Genomic DNA, 13,915 nt, shown 5'->3' with positions numbered 1-13,915 from the left:
CCATTTCACAAGATGGGTGTGGGGGACTGAAGGGGCCCAGAAGTCAGCATCCTTAGGGGTGTATTCGTGTCCAAGAGGTGCCAGGGAGCTCTGGGCCAAAGGGAAATTGTGAGCATGCACTGGCAGTGTGCCTTCCTGGCAGGCCCCGCAGATGGCAGAGCAGAGTGGGGTGGGGACAGGCTCTTCCAGCCAGAGCTGGGGCCAGCCAGCAGGGTGAGGGGCTGCAAGCCCTCTGCGTCCCACCCACGGGCCTCCTCCTGCAGCCAGATGCTGCATCTCTTCTTAAGACCCCCAGGTTTCGCCTCAGGGTGCTGGGGGTGGGGAAGAGACTGCTCTCTGGATGAGCACATGGACTTAGTGAGTTAGGCTGTCCTCTACGACAAAGGATGGCAGCTCATATGTTCAGGCCACAGCAGGAGTGCGGGAATCTCCTCAAGCCCTGTCCAGGCTCGGCACAGCCTGCAGGCCAACAGCTCCTCTCAGGACCCAGCAGGGGCTCTGAGCCCCTGCTCACAACTCCATTTCCACTCTATAAGCTTGTTCCTGTTCCTCCTGGGCCTACCCCGGTCTCAAGTTCCAATTCTCCAGGAGGTGGTTTTGGCAGCATGTCACATCACTACAGAGAAGAAAAGGCCTGCTGAGCAGAGCTCACATCTGGGCAGCGCATGCCGTCAGCTACCTCCTGTCCAGCTCCTACTTGGGGGGTCATGCCCTGGTTAGATGTGCTGTGGCTCAGGTTGCAGATGGTGGAGGACTTCTGGGTACTGGTCAGTGGGGGCCTGGGGTCTGGAGAAGCTGGGAATGTGCAGCTCTGAAGCCCCAGAAGGGTCCAGCTGCTCCTCAGGTCCCCAGGTTTGCTATTGTGATACTAGGTCCTGAGGTGATCTCACAGGGGAGCTCCTAGGCCGAGTCTCGATGTGTGACCCCAAGTGACTCCCTTAACTCAGCTGTGAAGGGGGCATGGTAATCACAGCCTGTCCTACTTCACAGGGCTGCAAGAGAATCAGCTGCAACAAAAGCGGGGAAAGCTCTGTTGTAAACTGTCGGTGATGCGTAAACCGTAAAGGTCCCGGTAAACAGCTGAGTGCTCAGGGGCCTGAGTCCACTCCATGAAGGGCTGTCCCTGAAAAATGTGCACGGAATAGCCTTAGCACCCTTCTAAATGGTAATGGGATAAGGCCAGCAACAACTGAGGCCAACGGTCCCAGGCCAGGTCAGGCAGGGAGGGGAGAGAGCCCAGTTATTACTGCAGAGGTGGGATGGTTGAGGCCCCTTAGGTGCCATCTGGCTCCATCCCAGGAGCTGGACCCTGGGCCCACGACCCTGAGGTCACAACTTCCAGGTGGCAGGAAGACAAATAAGGAAGTCTTCCTTGGACCTGGAAAGCAGAAGGAGGAGTGAACATTAGAGCAGATATTAGCCTACAGGGACAAGTGCCAAAGGTCAAGTTCATGAAATCATTCACTTGACAAGGGCTCAGAGAAGACCTGTCCTACAGCTGACCTCACCAAGTGTGATCAGACCCAGGCCCTCCCTGCAAGGCCTAGCTGAGCAGAACTGGAGCCAGATGGTGACAATGTAAAGCAAGGTGAGGCCTGAGGCAGCAGCCAGAGGCTGAGCAGGGTGGAGGTTTTCAAGTGGAGCAGCCGGAAGGTGAGCAGAGGGCCGGAGGTGGGCAAGGACCAAGGACGGGTCAGCACAGCTCAGTGTTAGGAGGGTCAAGGGCACAGAAAGTAGAAAGAGCTCCATGAAGCCCTTACCAGAGGCCAGGCCATCAACTCAAGGTTTGACTGCCATTGACTCACTCACTGCTTACTGTAACTCCTTTTCAAACATGAGAAAACTGACACACGAAAAAGTTAACCAATGCCAGAGAGCTGGTAAGTGGTGTAGCCAGGACCCGATGAGACACGGGCAGGGGAAGACCAAGAAGGGCCCTCTAAGCCTTGCTTGGGAGCGTCACTTGACCAGGTAGGCAAGGAGACACCACTGAGGCACAGGAAGGTATGAGCAGCAAACCTGACCTACAGGATGATGGATTCTCGGGAGGGCCCGGAGGCAGGGAAAGCAGTGTCTGGTGCCTGGGATAGGACTGACGCAGCAGGAGGGGAGAAGGGGGCCAATTTGAGAGCCACGAGGGTGGTACATTTGAGAGCTCTCAAACCAACTTGAGACCCATGTTCCAGGTTGGAGGGTGCCACTTATGGAAAGAGGGTACAGCTGTCTGAAAAGAAGGTCATCACTCATCACTGATCACCACTGGTCAGGGTGACCAGAAGGCAGGTCGAATTTTGGATCTAGAGCTCAGGTAAGAGGTTTGGGCTGGAAAGACTAAAGCTAGAGTTGCAGGTGAGGAGATGGCAGTTGGAGCTTTAGGAGGGGGTGAGCTCGTCCAGGGCAAGGCTGTGTCCATAGGGCAAAGGCAGGGCTTGGTGGAAGGGAAGATGCTGCTGCAGGGAAGGGGCACTAGGAAGAGGGAAGTCGCAAGAGACAGAGCCCTGAAAGGCTAGGGAAAAATGGGAGTGTGGTTGGGAAGGAGGGAGGAATGTTAGCTGCTGCCGAGAGGACAAGGAGGATGGGGCCTGAGTGGCATCCAGTGGAGTGATAGGCAAGGAAGGGGTGGCCCAGGGCCGGGCACCCCAAGCACTATATAAATACTAGATGAACCAATGTGTGAGCGAGCCTTCCCAGAGCTGCTGCCAGACAAGTCCATGTGGTTCTGTGGAGGGGCCCAGGCCAGCAGGGAGGAGCGTCTGGCTGCTTGGGGAGCCTGCCTGGAGGAACTATGAGAAAATGCAGAGGAGCCGAACCGTGCTGGCCGCTGTGCTGCGCTGGGCAGCGGCCACAAACACTGCCGGCCGTTTGCTGCCTTGATTATGGCTGTTTTAATTAACTGCGCTACAGCTGCCTCCATCTTGTTGAGTTTTAATTAAATTAAATGAGCTAACACTTCGTGGGCTGTCTCAGGCGGCCGTGGCTGGGGCCAGAATCTTGCCCTGCTGGGCAGCTTGTCTCTCCCTCCTCCTGCTGGGCACCAAGGGGCTGTGAGGCTGGTGGGAATTGATGGGGAGGGGCTGGCATCCCAGGGAGTGGGAGGGCACCTCTGAAGCCTGCAGGCCCCTGAAAGGGGCAAGAGTCATGTCCTCCTTTTCATCATTGACATCACAACTGACAGGCAGAAGGGGCTCTGGCCGGCACTGGCCATCCTGCCCGAGGCCAACCATCCCATAGCTAGCAGGAGGGCTTCTGAAGCAAAGACTATTGGTCCAGGCCGTGCTGGCAGCAGATGCAGAATGCAGCCAAGCTGATTCTGAGCCTCTTTTCCCGCCTGCTCTGTTCCCACAAAAACTGAATCAATTATCCTGGCAGGAGCCTCACAGGCAGATCGATCAATGGGGTGACACCTCCCTCCTGCACGATGGCATCCTTGCTCCCAGGGCTCCGAGCTGGCTCGACGGAGACATCCAGAGGAGACAGGTGGCTCTGGTGGTCGAGGGACAACAGCAAGTCCCCTTAGTTCCAGGCCCCTGAGATCCAGCCTTTTGAAGCCTGATGAATCAGGCACCTTTAGCCTCTTTTCCCAGCTAAGCCCTGCCATCTGAGGAAGCAAAGAGAAGCATCATCCAGGCCCTGTCTCAGGCCAGGCTACAGGGAAGGAGGAGGGTGAACATCCATAGAGCACCCTTGAAGAGTCCACCACACTGGCACATCACATGTGCTGGGAGGGGCAGAACTGGCCCAAAGTCTGGAGTCTGACAATCCGAAGAAGGTAACGGCACAGCCAACCACGAGCTCTCTTCCCTGAGCCAGGCACACCTGCAGTAAGACCCAGCCCACCCCACCAGGTACCCTCCGCTCAGCCCTGGAGGTGCCCAGGCCCAAGGGAGTAGGCTGTGCTGGGATCTGACAAGACGCTTGTTCTGAGGTCTGCATGGCCCCTTGACCCCTGCCCTCTGCTCACCTGAACGCAGCTGCTTGATGCGGCCGTTGCTCGTGGCAGGGTCTACAGGAAGGAAGTCCTTGAACCAAGAAATCTCAGGGTCTGGATTTCCGCCTGCGGCACATAGCATGGTGGCTGTGCGTGCCTTCTCCACCACCTTCAGCTGAGGCCCCATGTCGATGGAAGGGAACCCAGGGGGCAGCTGTTCCTCTGCAGACAAACAGCAATGTGTGTATTAGGGCTGGCTCTGCCTGCCCCCTATGACCCCTCTGGGGGTAACCTCCCCAACTGCAGGTTGGCCAGGGCCCTCAAGACTCCCCTCCCCTTTCCTTGACTTCTAAGCATGAAGCATACCCCGATTTGAGGAACCAGGGTCCTAAGTCTCTTTGGCAGGGCAGAGGCTGCAGTGGGGCCCACCCCTGCCCTGTCAGGGAGTTTCCAGGTCTGAGAGGCAACGCCTCAGACTGAAGGCGTCAGCACTTATCTCTCCAGGCCCTGAGAAGAACGAGAATCAATGCTCTGCTGGTCACAGCAGAAAGCACTGCATGAATGCTGGGGCTGCAGGGGGTGGGGGGGGGGGCTAGCAGGGAGCTCGCGCAGCATCCAACAGCCACAGCTCAGCCTGAAGGCCTCTGTGCTGTCCAGCCCCCTCTCCCCTGTCCGCACACACAGTGTTCCCTTCATCCAGCCTTCAGCTCTATCACATGGCAGAGCCCCAGGTCACCGCCTGGTCTCTAGCCCTGACCCGGGGCACCCCCAGCCCTACCAATGATCCCCTTCTAACTCCGATCCTGACCTTGACCTATTCGTTACTGCAGCCTTGACCTTGAGCTTTCTCCCTCACTTAGTCCTGACCCTGGGAGTCACGGTCAGGGCTGCAGACCATGCCTGAGTGTGTGGAGGCAAAGGAGATAAAAAAGCTCTAAAGACACAAAAAGTTGGTAGGGGGAGAAAAAACTCCCTCCTGGCTGCCTTCTCCCAGCTTGCTAGGGGTTGGCGGCACACAGAGGAGTCACTAGCATAGAGTAAGAGGAACAGATGTCAGCAGCAAACCCACTCCCACTGTACATGGGCTCCCATATCAGCCCCGAGGGGCTGCAGGGCAAGGCTATCTACTCTCCACCCCTTGGAAGCACAAGTCCAGGACAGGCTCAGGACTAGTATAGATCAAATGGGACTCCCACGTTCACCACGAACTAGCTTTAGGGCCTGGCATGTTACTCATTCTTTGTCTCCTTTATCTGTACACAGGGTTCAAGTGCCCACCTTGATGGTAAGGCTACTGTGAGGTCTGTATCTGATCATGCATGCAAGGTGTTGCGGAGCATCTGATGCGGAATTCACTCCCAGTGAATATTAGCTGGTGTAACTAGTAAGGGCTGAGCCACTGGGGCAGACAGGTATTGAGACTAGAGTCGGGAACTCCCTTTTCCACTCTAGGCTGGTGAGAGGCCCTTCCCACTAGGACCAAACCACCAATTTTCTTTTTCTTTTTTTTTTTTTTTGAGATGGAGTCTCACTCTGCTGCCCAGGCTGGAGTGCAGTGGTGCGATCTCAGCTCACCGCAACCTCCGCCTCCTGGGTTCAAGCAATTCTCCTGTCTCAGCCTCCCGAGTAGCTGGGATTACAAGCGCCCACCACCACGCCCGGCAAATTTTGTATTTTTAGTAGAGACGGGGTTTCACCATGTTGGCCAGGCTGGGCTCGAACTTCTGACCTCTGGTGATCTACCCGCCTCGGCCTCCCAAAGTGCTGGGATTACAGCTGTGAGCCACCAGGCCCCATCCCAAACCACCAATTTTCAAGGCCTCAGCAGAGTGTCTCTCCCAGTGTGGATGCCAGACACACCCAATGTGGGGCAAGGGGAATGTGTGTTCTTTGTCTGTCTCCTGGGGAAGGCGGGGAGCTGGGCTCATGGTGGGGGAGACCAGCACCACTCTACCTCCTTTCCACAAGCCCAGCACAAGATGGGTGTATGGGAACATGTGCCAAGGGAAGTCAGGCTTCTATGCCAGAGTAAAGGCACATGGCATCCTCAGACATGAAGAAGGTAAAGGCTGGCAGAAACTAGCCCTCCCTGGAGCCTCTTGGAGACCCAGGGAGAGCGACTGGGGGGCGGGTAGAAGAGGGAGTTGGACGAGCCCCAACAGGCAGGAGCAAGATACCTATCTATCTGCTGCCAGTCCCAGGGGATGCTCCCCAAGGCTCTAGCTGCCAGGGACATCCCAAAGGGACTGTGGCCCATGAGGAGCAGAGGTCTCAGGCTAGAGAGCAATAGGATTCCCAGCACGGCCTTGCCGCCCCAGCCTTTCCTGGGACCTGGCTGTACGTTTCCCCACCTGCAGCCCTAGAAGTTCTGGATATAAACCCAGTGTCTCCTTGGCTGTAAATATGATCCCACAGTGCCCTTTCAGATTTTTAAAAGTAAAATGTTCAACAGTGGCAAGAGAAGGGAAGGAGGACGGAAATGAAGAGGACTGAGATGCACCAGGCAGGGGATCAGCCTCCTTTGGCCCAGCTGCTGCTTGCTTCCATAGGAAGGCCTGAGGGGGACCAGAGGTGCAGGGCTCACCTCCCCAACACCTGGGGACACTCGGGGCTGCTAGGGCCATCCTGGGTGCCCTCCAGAGCACCAGTCTAACTCTTTCAAGACCTCATTCCTACCTGCCCAGCTCATGGGGAAGACGTGGCCATGGCCTGCCAGAGTCAGGGCCCAGGAGTCAAGTGGCCTTCATCTCCACCCGCAGATAGGGAAGGGAAGGGAAGTACAAATGTGTGCAGCCCTGTGTCTCGGAATCTACTCTGAATTCCTTACACGAGGAAGGTCTTTGGGATTTACGCCAAATTAAGGACAATTAATTTTCCTCCCTCAATTATCACGCCCTCAGTGGCTCTGTCCTTGGCTCAGATCATCCCTCAGGCACTGCCGCCAGAGCCTAAAACCAGAATGTGTGGAGAGCTGTCCATAAAACAGCGGGACCCAAAAGCCAGTCCCCTGTGCCAACTAGGCTTCTAGGCAGCACTCGGAAGTCTGCCACTCTGCCACCCGGGAAGGGAAGTGGGTCTTACAGGAGGGCTCCAGCCCCTCAGGAGCGACTTGCTGCTGCCTCTTCCTTCTCTCCCATCCAGGCGCCTCTGAACATTCAACTCAGCCAAGTACAGCAGCCCTTTCCTGACGCCCACCATGCGCCTGGCCTGGCTGAGCACTGGGCATCCTGGTGTAAACTGATCTATCAGCCAGACTGGCACACTTACCACCTTCCCCCACGGGCACCCGCGGAAGCTGGGTCTACCGCAGCCTCAACACTCAGGCTGAGGACCTGGGCAACTCCTCAGATGATGTCACATGATCACTCCAAACCCATCAACAACTGGGAAAACTGAGACCCAGGTATGAGGGACAGTAAGATTTATGAAGCATTTACTAGGTTCCAGGTACTATGTTAAAATGCTTTACAAAATGACTTAAATCTTTACCAAACCCTTATGAGGTACATGGGCAACCAGGGGCTGAGAGAGATCTAGACATCTGGACACCTGCCCAAGGTCACACAGCTAAATCGGAGGTGGGGCTGGGAGGAGACCGGGTGGTAGGCCCCCAGCCCCAGCGCTCTAGGCGTGAACACCCCGCGCGCGAGAGGGCCGGCAGCCTCCCCCACACCACGCCTCGGCCGGCACGGCTCAGGCTCCACTGCAGAGCCCCGCACACGCGCCGCGGCGTTTGCATCTACCGCAAAGCGAACCCCAGGGTCCCCCACACGTGGACAGTCGCAAGCACCCACCCATTTTCCAACCCCGGGATGCACCAGTCACGCTGAGTCCCCTCAAATCGCCTCCTGTTGGCGCCGAAGGGGAGGAAGGGCCCCTCCCCGCTCCAGGCCAGCCGGTAGCCATGGCGACGGTGGAGCGGCGGGCGCTGCCGCGGAAGGGCTGCGTGTGCCCGAGTCCGTGCAGGCGCGCGCGTCCGCTGTCCGCCCTGGCACCGCCCTTCCCGCCCCCGCCTGGGTGGAGCCTCTGCGCCCCTTCCCAGGCCCCGGCTCCTCAGCTCCAGGGAATCCTCCCACTAGGCTTTCCCGCTTCACCGACGCGGCCCTCCCCTCCACCCCCAACCGGGTGCCCTGCACAGTGCGGGGAGGGGCCATCTGCCTCCTCAGCCTCAGCGCCGGGGGCGTCTGCACTACGCGTCTCAGGGCCATGGCCTGATAAGAGGGTGCCCTGGACGGAAGGAGAAGCCCATGGGGACTTCAGGGGCCTTCAGAGGTACCCAAGAGCCCGAGTCTCCACACCGTTTGCGGATTCTACCCGCATGCATAGACAACATGCACACACATTCCCTAGGGTCTCCCCGGCTCACGCAGATATGTGTGCAAGGTGGGGAGTGTGCACGTGTGTGTGAATGCCTCCTGCACCTAACTGCGCTGGCCTTTACCCACTGCAGCAAGGAGACCTGTCCCCTTCCGTGGAGAGGTTTGGTTGCCCCATGGGCAGAAGACGATGACAAGCCCTAGCGAGGGGAGGGTCGGGGGTCGATGGTGGGAATCCAAGGTTCAGAAGTGGATGAGCGCTTGGCTAACCTCCCACAGCAGTGTTGGAGCTGATCGGTTTGACTCCACAGCTCACTTGCTATCTTGGTGGCTTCCTGGAGGAGGGAGATTCAAGAACAGGAAACACATGAGCATGGGAGGCAGAAAGCTTTCCAGGGAGGAGGGGAAAACTGCCTTTGTAAAGGCTGTTGTGGGGGAAGGTGGTGGGATGACAGTACCAAGGCGAGTCTGGTGGGAGCTGGGGCATGTGTTGGGGTCCTGACAGAGGAGCCTAAGATGGGGGTGGAGGCTGCTGAGGCCCCCTACAAAGTACACACAGGTCTCTTTGTCCAGCTCAGCCTTGGACGCCTGAGGGTGAGTCTCTGGGCCAGAGGGAGGGGGCTGCACCAGGGAAGCTGACAGATGGAGACGCCTTGCAGGGTCCTGGGGCAGGCAGCACCGTCTGTCAGTATGACCTTTTCACCCATGTTTACCCAGCTTCGTGGCGTCTCCGTGCAAACGCAGGCACGCACCCGCACACACAGACACAGGCCCCCTGGGGTGGCACCGTCTGTGAGCCTGACCGCCTCCCCTAAGCTTGAGTGTTGGGCCTGGCCTCACCCTGCCTCTCAACACACAGACACCATAGAAACATGCACAGCCAGGAACCCACAGAAATATACATGGAGAAACAGACAGGTGTAAAAATAGAAACCTACATGTGCATGTGGAGGGGCACCTGCAGTGACTAGCACCTGTGGAAACAGGCGCATGCAAGCAGATCCAGAGGCGGTGCACACAGAGACACGCAAACACACATGTGGAGACATGCACAGCCAGACACACCTATGCCAAAACACGTGCGCCTGGAGACACATGCAGGGACGAGACACATGAAGGAACCTCGTAGGTGGCAGGGCTGCTGGCTCCCCCTGCCCTTCAGCCGCTCCACAGAAGCCAAGGCCACCTCCAGCAGCTCCATCCTCAGCAGGGCCAGAGCCAGACGCCTTCCAAAAGTCGAAGGCTGCCAGATCTGCACGCTCCCACACTCTCCCAGAGAGCCCAGCCCCACCCCCAGGCTTCCAGGCAGTAAGGGGGGCCTGGGGAGCCTTGGGCCCATCTCCCTTCGCAGCTTTGAGTCTCGATTTTCAGCTGTTTTTCCAAGAGCAAACTCCCACCTCTTCCAGCACTCAGATTTCATCAAACTTGGCATCTTAAAAGCCTGTTTTGTTTTTCAATCTGAGCTGTTTGGGGCCTGTTGGCAGGCACGGCGTCCCCCTCCCAGTCATCCCCTCCTTCCTCGGGTTTCCCTGGCACCCCACATCGCCCTACTCAACCCAGTTGAGGCCTCCCCACCACAAGAACCCAGGGGCCATGCCCTGCGCATACACCCGACCCACACTGGAGTTCCAGACTCGGGCCCACACTGGACTCTCCTTCAGTGGCTCCCCAACCTCAGTCCTACTCCAGGGAGACTCTTGTCATCCATTCACTCCCTAGGTTCGGGCCCTTCCAGTCACTACAGACACTGATAGCCTCCCTCTCACTTCTCAGCCCTGCTGTCTCCCAACACCAAAGCCAACAATGGCTCCACGGAACTAACTGTTAAGGACACATGCCGGGCCTCTCGGCAGCACCCCGCCCTGCTGACCACTCCTCCTCCTTCGCACACTTTTTTCTCTTGGCATTTCTTGACCTCACACACTCCCAGTTTCCCTCCAGTCTCTCAGGAACCTCCTCCCAACATGGAGAGTCGGTTCCTGGGGCTCCTTCTGTCCTGGCTCTGGCCTCCTGAGATTTGCTATTTCTCAGCCTGTAAGATTCCAACTTCAGATGTCCCCCGGAGTGCCAGGCAAATGTGTACGAGGCCTCTTTGACACCTCCCTGGATGCCTGCGCACACCTGGCTCAACAGATTTCTAACTGGACTCACCAACTCGCCTCCTCAAACCTGGTCCTCCTCTAGTACATGAATCTTAGAAATGGCACCCCCACCTACCCAGCCCCAGAGCCAGGAACCTGGAGCCTTGCACCTCCCCAATCCTACAGGTAGCCAGGCAGGCCTCTACTCTTTCTAATCTTATTTTTTTTTTTTTTTTTGAGATGGAGTCTCGCTTGGTCGCCTAGGCTGAAGTGCAGTGGCGCCATCTCATATCACTGCAACCTCTGCCTCCCGGGTTCAAGCAATTCTTATGCCTCAGCCTCCAGAGTAGCTGGGATTACAGGCTCCTGCCACCACACCCAGCTAATTTTTACAGTTTTAGTAGAGACGGGGTTTCACTATGTTGGCCAGGCTGGTCTCGAACTCCCGACCTCAAGTGATCTGCCCACCTTGGCCTCCCAAAGCGCTGGGATTATAGGCATGATCCACCGTGCCCGGCCTCTTTCTAACCTTCTAGTGATCTGCTCCCCTATCTTCCCCTACCCATACCCAGATTTGCGCCAATGCCATCACTCACCTGGACTGCAACAACCTGTCATTGGTTTCCTTCCAGCCCCCACTATGCACCCACACGGACCTTTCTGAAGCTTAAGTTTGATCACGTCATTGCTCTGATTAAAATTTGGCCAGGAGCAGTGGCTCATGCCTGTAATCCCAGCACTCTGGGAGGCCAAAACGGGCAAATCACTTGAGGTCAGGAGTTCAAGACCAGCCTGGCCAACATGTTTCGTGAAACCCCATCTCTACTAAAAATACAAAAAATTAGCCGGGCGTGGTGGTCCATGCCTGTAATCCCAAGCTATTCGGGAGGCTGAGACATGAGAATTGCTTCAACCCAGGAGGCAGAGGTTGCAGTGAGCCGAGATCACGCCACTGCACTCCAGCCTGGGTGGCAGAGTGAGACTCCGTTTCAAAAAAGTCCTCTCAGGGCCAGGCGCGGTGGCTCACGCCTATAATCCCAGCACTTTGGGAGGCTGAGGCGGGTGGATCATGAGGTCAGGAGGTCAAGACCATCCTGGCTAACACGGTGAAACCCCATCTCTACTAAAAATACAAAAAATTAGTCAGGTGTGGTGGCGCGTGCCTGTAGTCCCAGCTGCTCGGAAGGCTGAGGCAGGAGAATCATCTGAACCCGGGAGGCGGAAGTTGCAGTGAGCTGAGATTGTGCCACCGCACTCCAGTCTGGGCCACAGAGTCAGACACCATCTCAAAAAAAAAAACAAGTCCTCTCTCCCCAGCAAGCAAACCAGTAGGAGGGAGCACCTTACCAAGGATGGAGAATGTGCATGCACAGGGCATTTGGGCATTTAAACCGCCATCCTGGTGAGCCTGTTCCCAGAGCCATTGGCTCCACCGTGGTCATGAGGCTAGGGAACACGTACAGTGGGCCTTACAAGTACCTGTGAGTATAGGGGCAGGGGGGCAGGCTGGGCACAGGGGAAGTGCCCAGTGTCCATGGCTAACAGAAGAGGCAGGAGTACCACCTACTAAACAGGAGCACCCATTCGGAAGGGAATCCACTTGGGCGCCTCAAGGCAGATCACAGCTAATAAAAACAGGAGAACTTACTTAATACCTCTCCCATCCCCATCCCTGAGGCCTAGAACCTCCAGGAAATGATTGTAGAACCTCATGTCTGCGTGGATCTGAAATCTACTGCAGTCATGGGGGTGTAAGGACAGGTCACAGAGGACTACAGCAGCTGGACCAGGGGTATACAGGTCATGCCTCAGTTGCTAAGGGAGAGGTAGAAGCTGGCTTGGGTTCCAGGTTCTGGGGCCACTTCTACATCCTCTGTGCTGCAAATCAGGTAGTTGACAGCCCCAGCTTCTGCCAAAGCAGACTGTTACCCCAGACACACATGTAGACAATAGAAAGGGATCACATCTTGCCACTTGGGAAGCCATCTTGTGCCTGCAATAGCCCTTTACCCAACTCCCCAGCCATCAAAGTCAGGCCTGGGCCAAGTCATTCCACCATGGGTGGAAGGAATATACAGGTTTGGAGCAGGGAAGGAGGTGGAGCAGGGAGAGATGACTCCTTGAGAAAACACACATGTACCCATCTTGCAAATGTAAGCTCCCTCACCAGCTCTGCTCCAGTTCCAGCCCAGCCCAGGATACCTCAGGACAGGGTCATATGTCTATCATTGACCCTCTGTCTCTAGGGCTATTTCCAAAAGGACTGTGTTGTGGAGTGGTCAGGGGGTATATCAAGAGGTCCTTCGTCATCCCACGAGCCCCAAAGCCAGCCAGGGTCAGAGCTCCTGCAGAACCCAGAGGTCCAAGCCCAGTACAGCACTGATTAGCCCCCACCCTGGTCACTACTTCATGTGCCGGACAGCCCTTCCCCAGAGCCTGCTCCAAGGCTGGCAACACCAGGCACTCCATCGAGACACCTGGATTCCCTGGCCCGCATGGCATAGGTGGTATGGTGCTGGCTGGACACTGAGGCCAGGTGGGAACAGACAGAAGGGACTGTGGGCTTGGTGGGGTAGGGGAGGGAGAGGAAAGGGTCCCAAGACCTCCTGCAGGCAGGTCTGGGCAGGATCCCTATCTGGTGCACCCCACCTCCTGGCCTGGCTACAGAGGAGCTGCTGAGGTCGACCACAACAGGTGCTGAGAACAGCTCAGCCAGACCATTCTGGCCACATCCAACTCTGTCGAACTTCCTGGCGGACCAACAGCTCCAAACAGGGATCCTGCGGGGTCCCAGAGACAATGAGCCCAGACACAGCATCTCCGACCTCCTGCCAGTGCCAGACTGACCCCACCACACTTCAGCTCGGGCTGCTTGCTGCCCACTCCTGCTGCTGCCCACACAGGTTGTAAGGCACACACCACCTGCTGTCCACTCCCACCCCCACACACTCCCGAGGCACACCTACACACACAGCCTGCTGCACATCACCTGCTGTGCACTCCACACACATGCACATGCATTGTCTGACATCAACACACATACACTATGTGCTGCATGTACAAGCACACAGCCTGCTGCACACCACCTGCTGTATGCACCACACACATGGCCTGCTGCACAAATATAGTGCCTGTTGCGTGTGCGCATGTACACACACACACACTGCCTGCTGCACACACACACGGCCTGATGCATACAAACACACAGTCTGCTGCACACCACCTGCTGTACACACCACAGCCTGCTGCATGCACACAAATGCACTGCCCACTGCATGCCACCTATTGTACACACACACACACACACACTGCCTGCTGCACACCATCTGCTGTACATACCATGCACACTGCTTGCTGTACACCCCTGCAAACTACCCGCTGCGCACACACACACTGCCTGATACATACACAGCCTGCTACACACCACCTGCTGGACACACACACATAAACACACTGCCTGACACATACACACAGCTTGCTACACACCACCTGCTGTACACACGCGCGCACACACACACACAGCCTGATACATACATAGCCTGCTACACACCACCTGCTGCACACCCCACAAACTACTCGCTGCACATAAA

General features: G+C 56.8%; 1 protein-coding gene across 35 annotated transcripts in view, besides 4 other annotated features; it reads right to left on the bottom strand.

Moving 5' to 3' along the window:
* The window catches only part of PTPRF (protein tyrosine phosphatase receptor type F), a 101,616-nt gene that overhangs the window by 49,927 nt on the left and 37,774 nt on the right, over positions 1-13,915 (bottom strand). For all 35 annotated transcript variants that reach the window (XM_011541873.3, XM_011541871.4, XM_011541872.4 and 32 more), the window contains one exon: positions 3,962-4,150. In XM_011541873.3, the coding sequence (XP_011540175.1) occupies positions 3,962-4,150 (189 nt within the window). The remainder of the gene's footprint in view (positions 1-3,961; positions 4,151-13,915) is intronic.
* Positions 427-928: an enhancer, noted in NCBI's record as "H3K4me1 hESC enhancer chr1:44038483-44038984 (GRCh37/hg19 assembly coordinates)". NCBI's record gives its function as "activates a minimal SCP1, AML or CMV promoter by ChIP-STARR-seq in primed H9 embryonic stem cells {active_cell/tissue: H9 hESC(primed)}" and the evidence as "EXISTENCE:reporter gene assay evidence [ECO:0000049][PMID:30033119]".
* Positions 7,846-8,641: an enhancer, noted in NCBI's record as "H3K27ac-H3K4me1 hESC enhancer chr1:44030770-44031565 (GRCh37/hg19 assembly coordinates)". NCBI's record gives its function as "activates a minimal SCP1, AML or CMV promoter by ChIP-STARR-seq in naive H9 embryonic stem cells {active_cell/tissue: H9 hESC(naive)}" and the evidence as "EXISTENCE:reporter gene assay evidence [ECO:0000049][PMID:30033119]".
* Positions 7,852-8,001: a silencer, noted in NCBI's record as "silent region_787". NCBI's record gives its function as "represses an Ori minimal core promoter by ATAC-STARR-seq in GM12878 lymphoblastoid cells {active_cell/tissue: GM12878}" and the evidence as "EXISTENCE:reporter gene assay evidence [ECO:0000049][PMID:35858748]".
* Positions 12,497-13,074: an enhancer, noted in NCBI's record as "H3K27ac-H3K4me1 hESC enhancer chr1:44026337-44026914 (GRCh37/hg19 assembly coordinates)". NCBI's record gives its function as "activates a minimal SCP1, AML or CMV promoter by ChIP-STARR-seq in primed H9 embryonic stem cells {active_cell/tissue: H9 hESC(primed)}" and the evidence as "EXISTENCE:reporter gene assay evidence [ECO:0000049][PMID:30033119]".

The sequence above is a fragment of the Homo sapiens genome, chromosome 1 (assembly GCF_000001405.40).
Source record: "Homo sapiens chromosome 1, GRCh38.p14 Primary Assembly".
NCBI lineage: Eukaryota > Metazoa > Chordata > Mammalia > Primates > Hominidae > Homo > Homo sapiens.
Note: the sequence above shows the minus strand (reverse complement) of the source record. Positions and strands in the feature narration are given on the sequence as shown.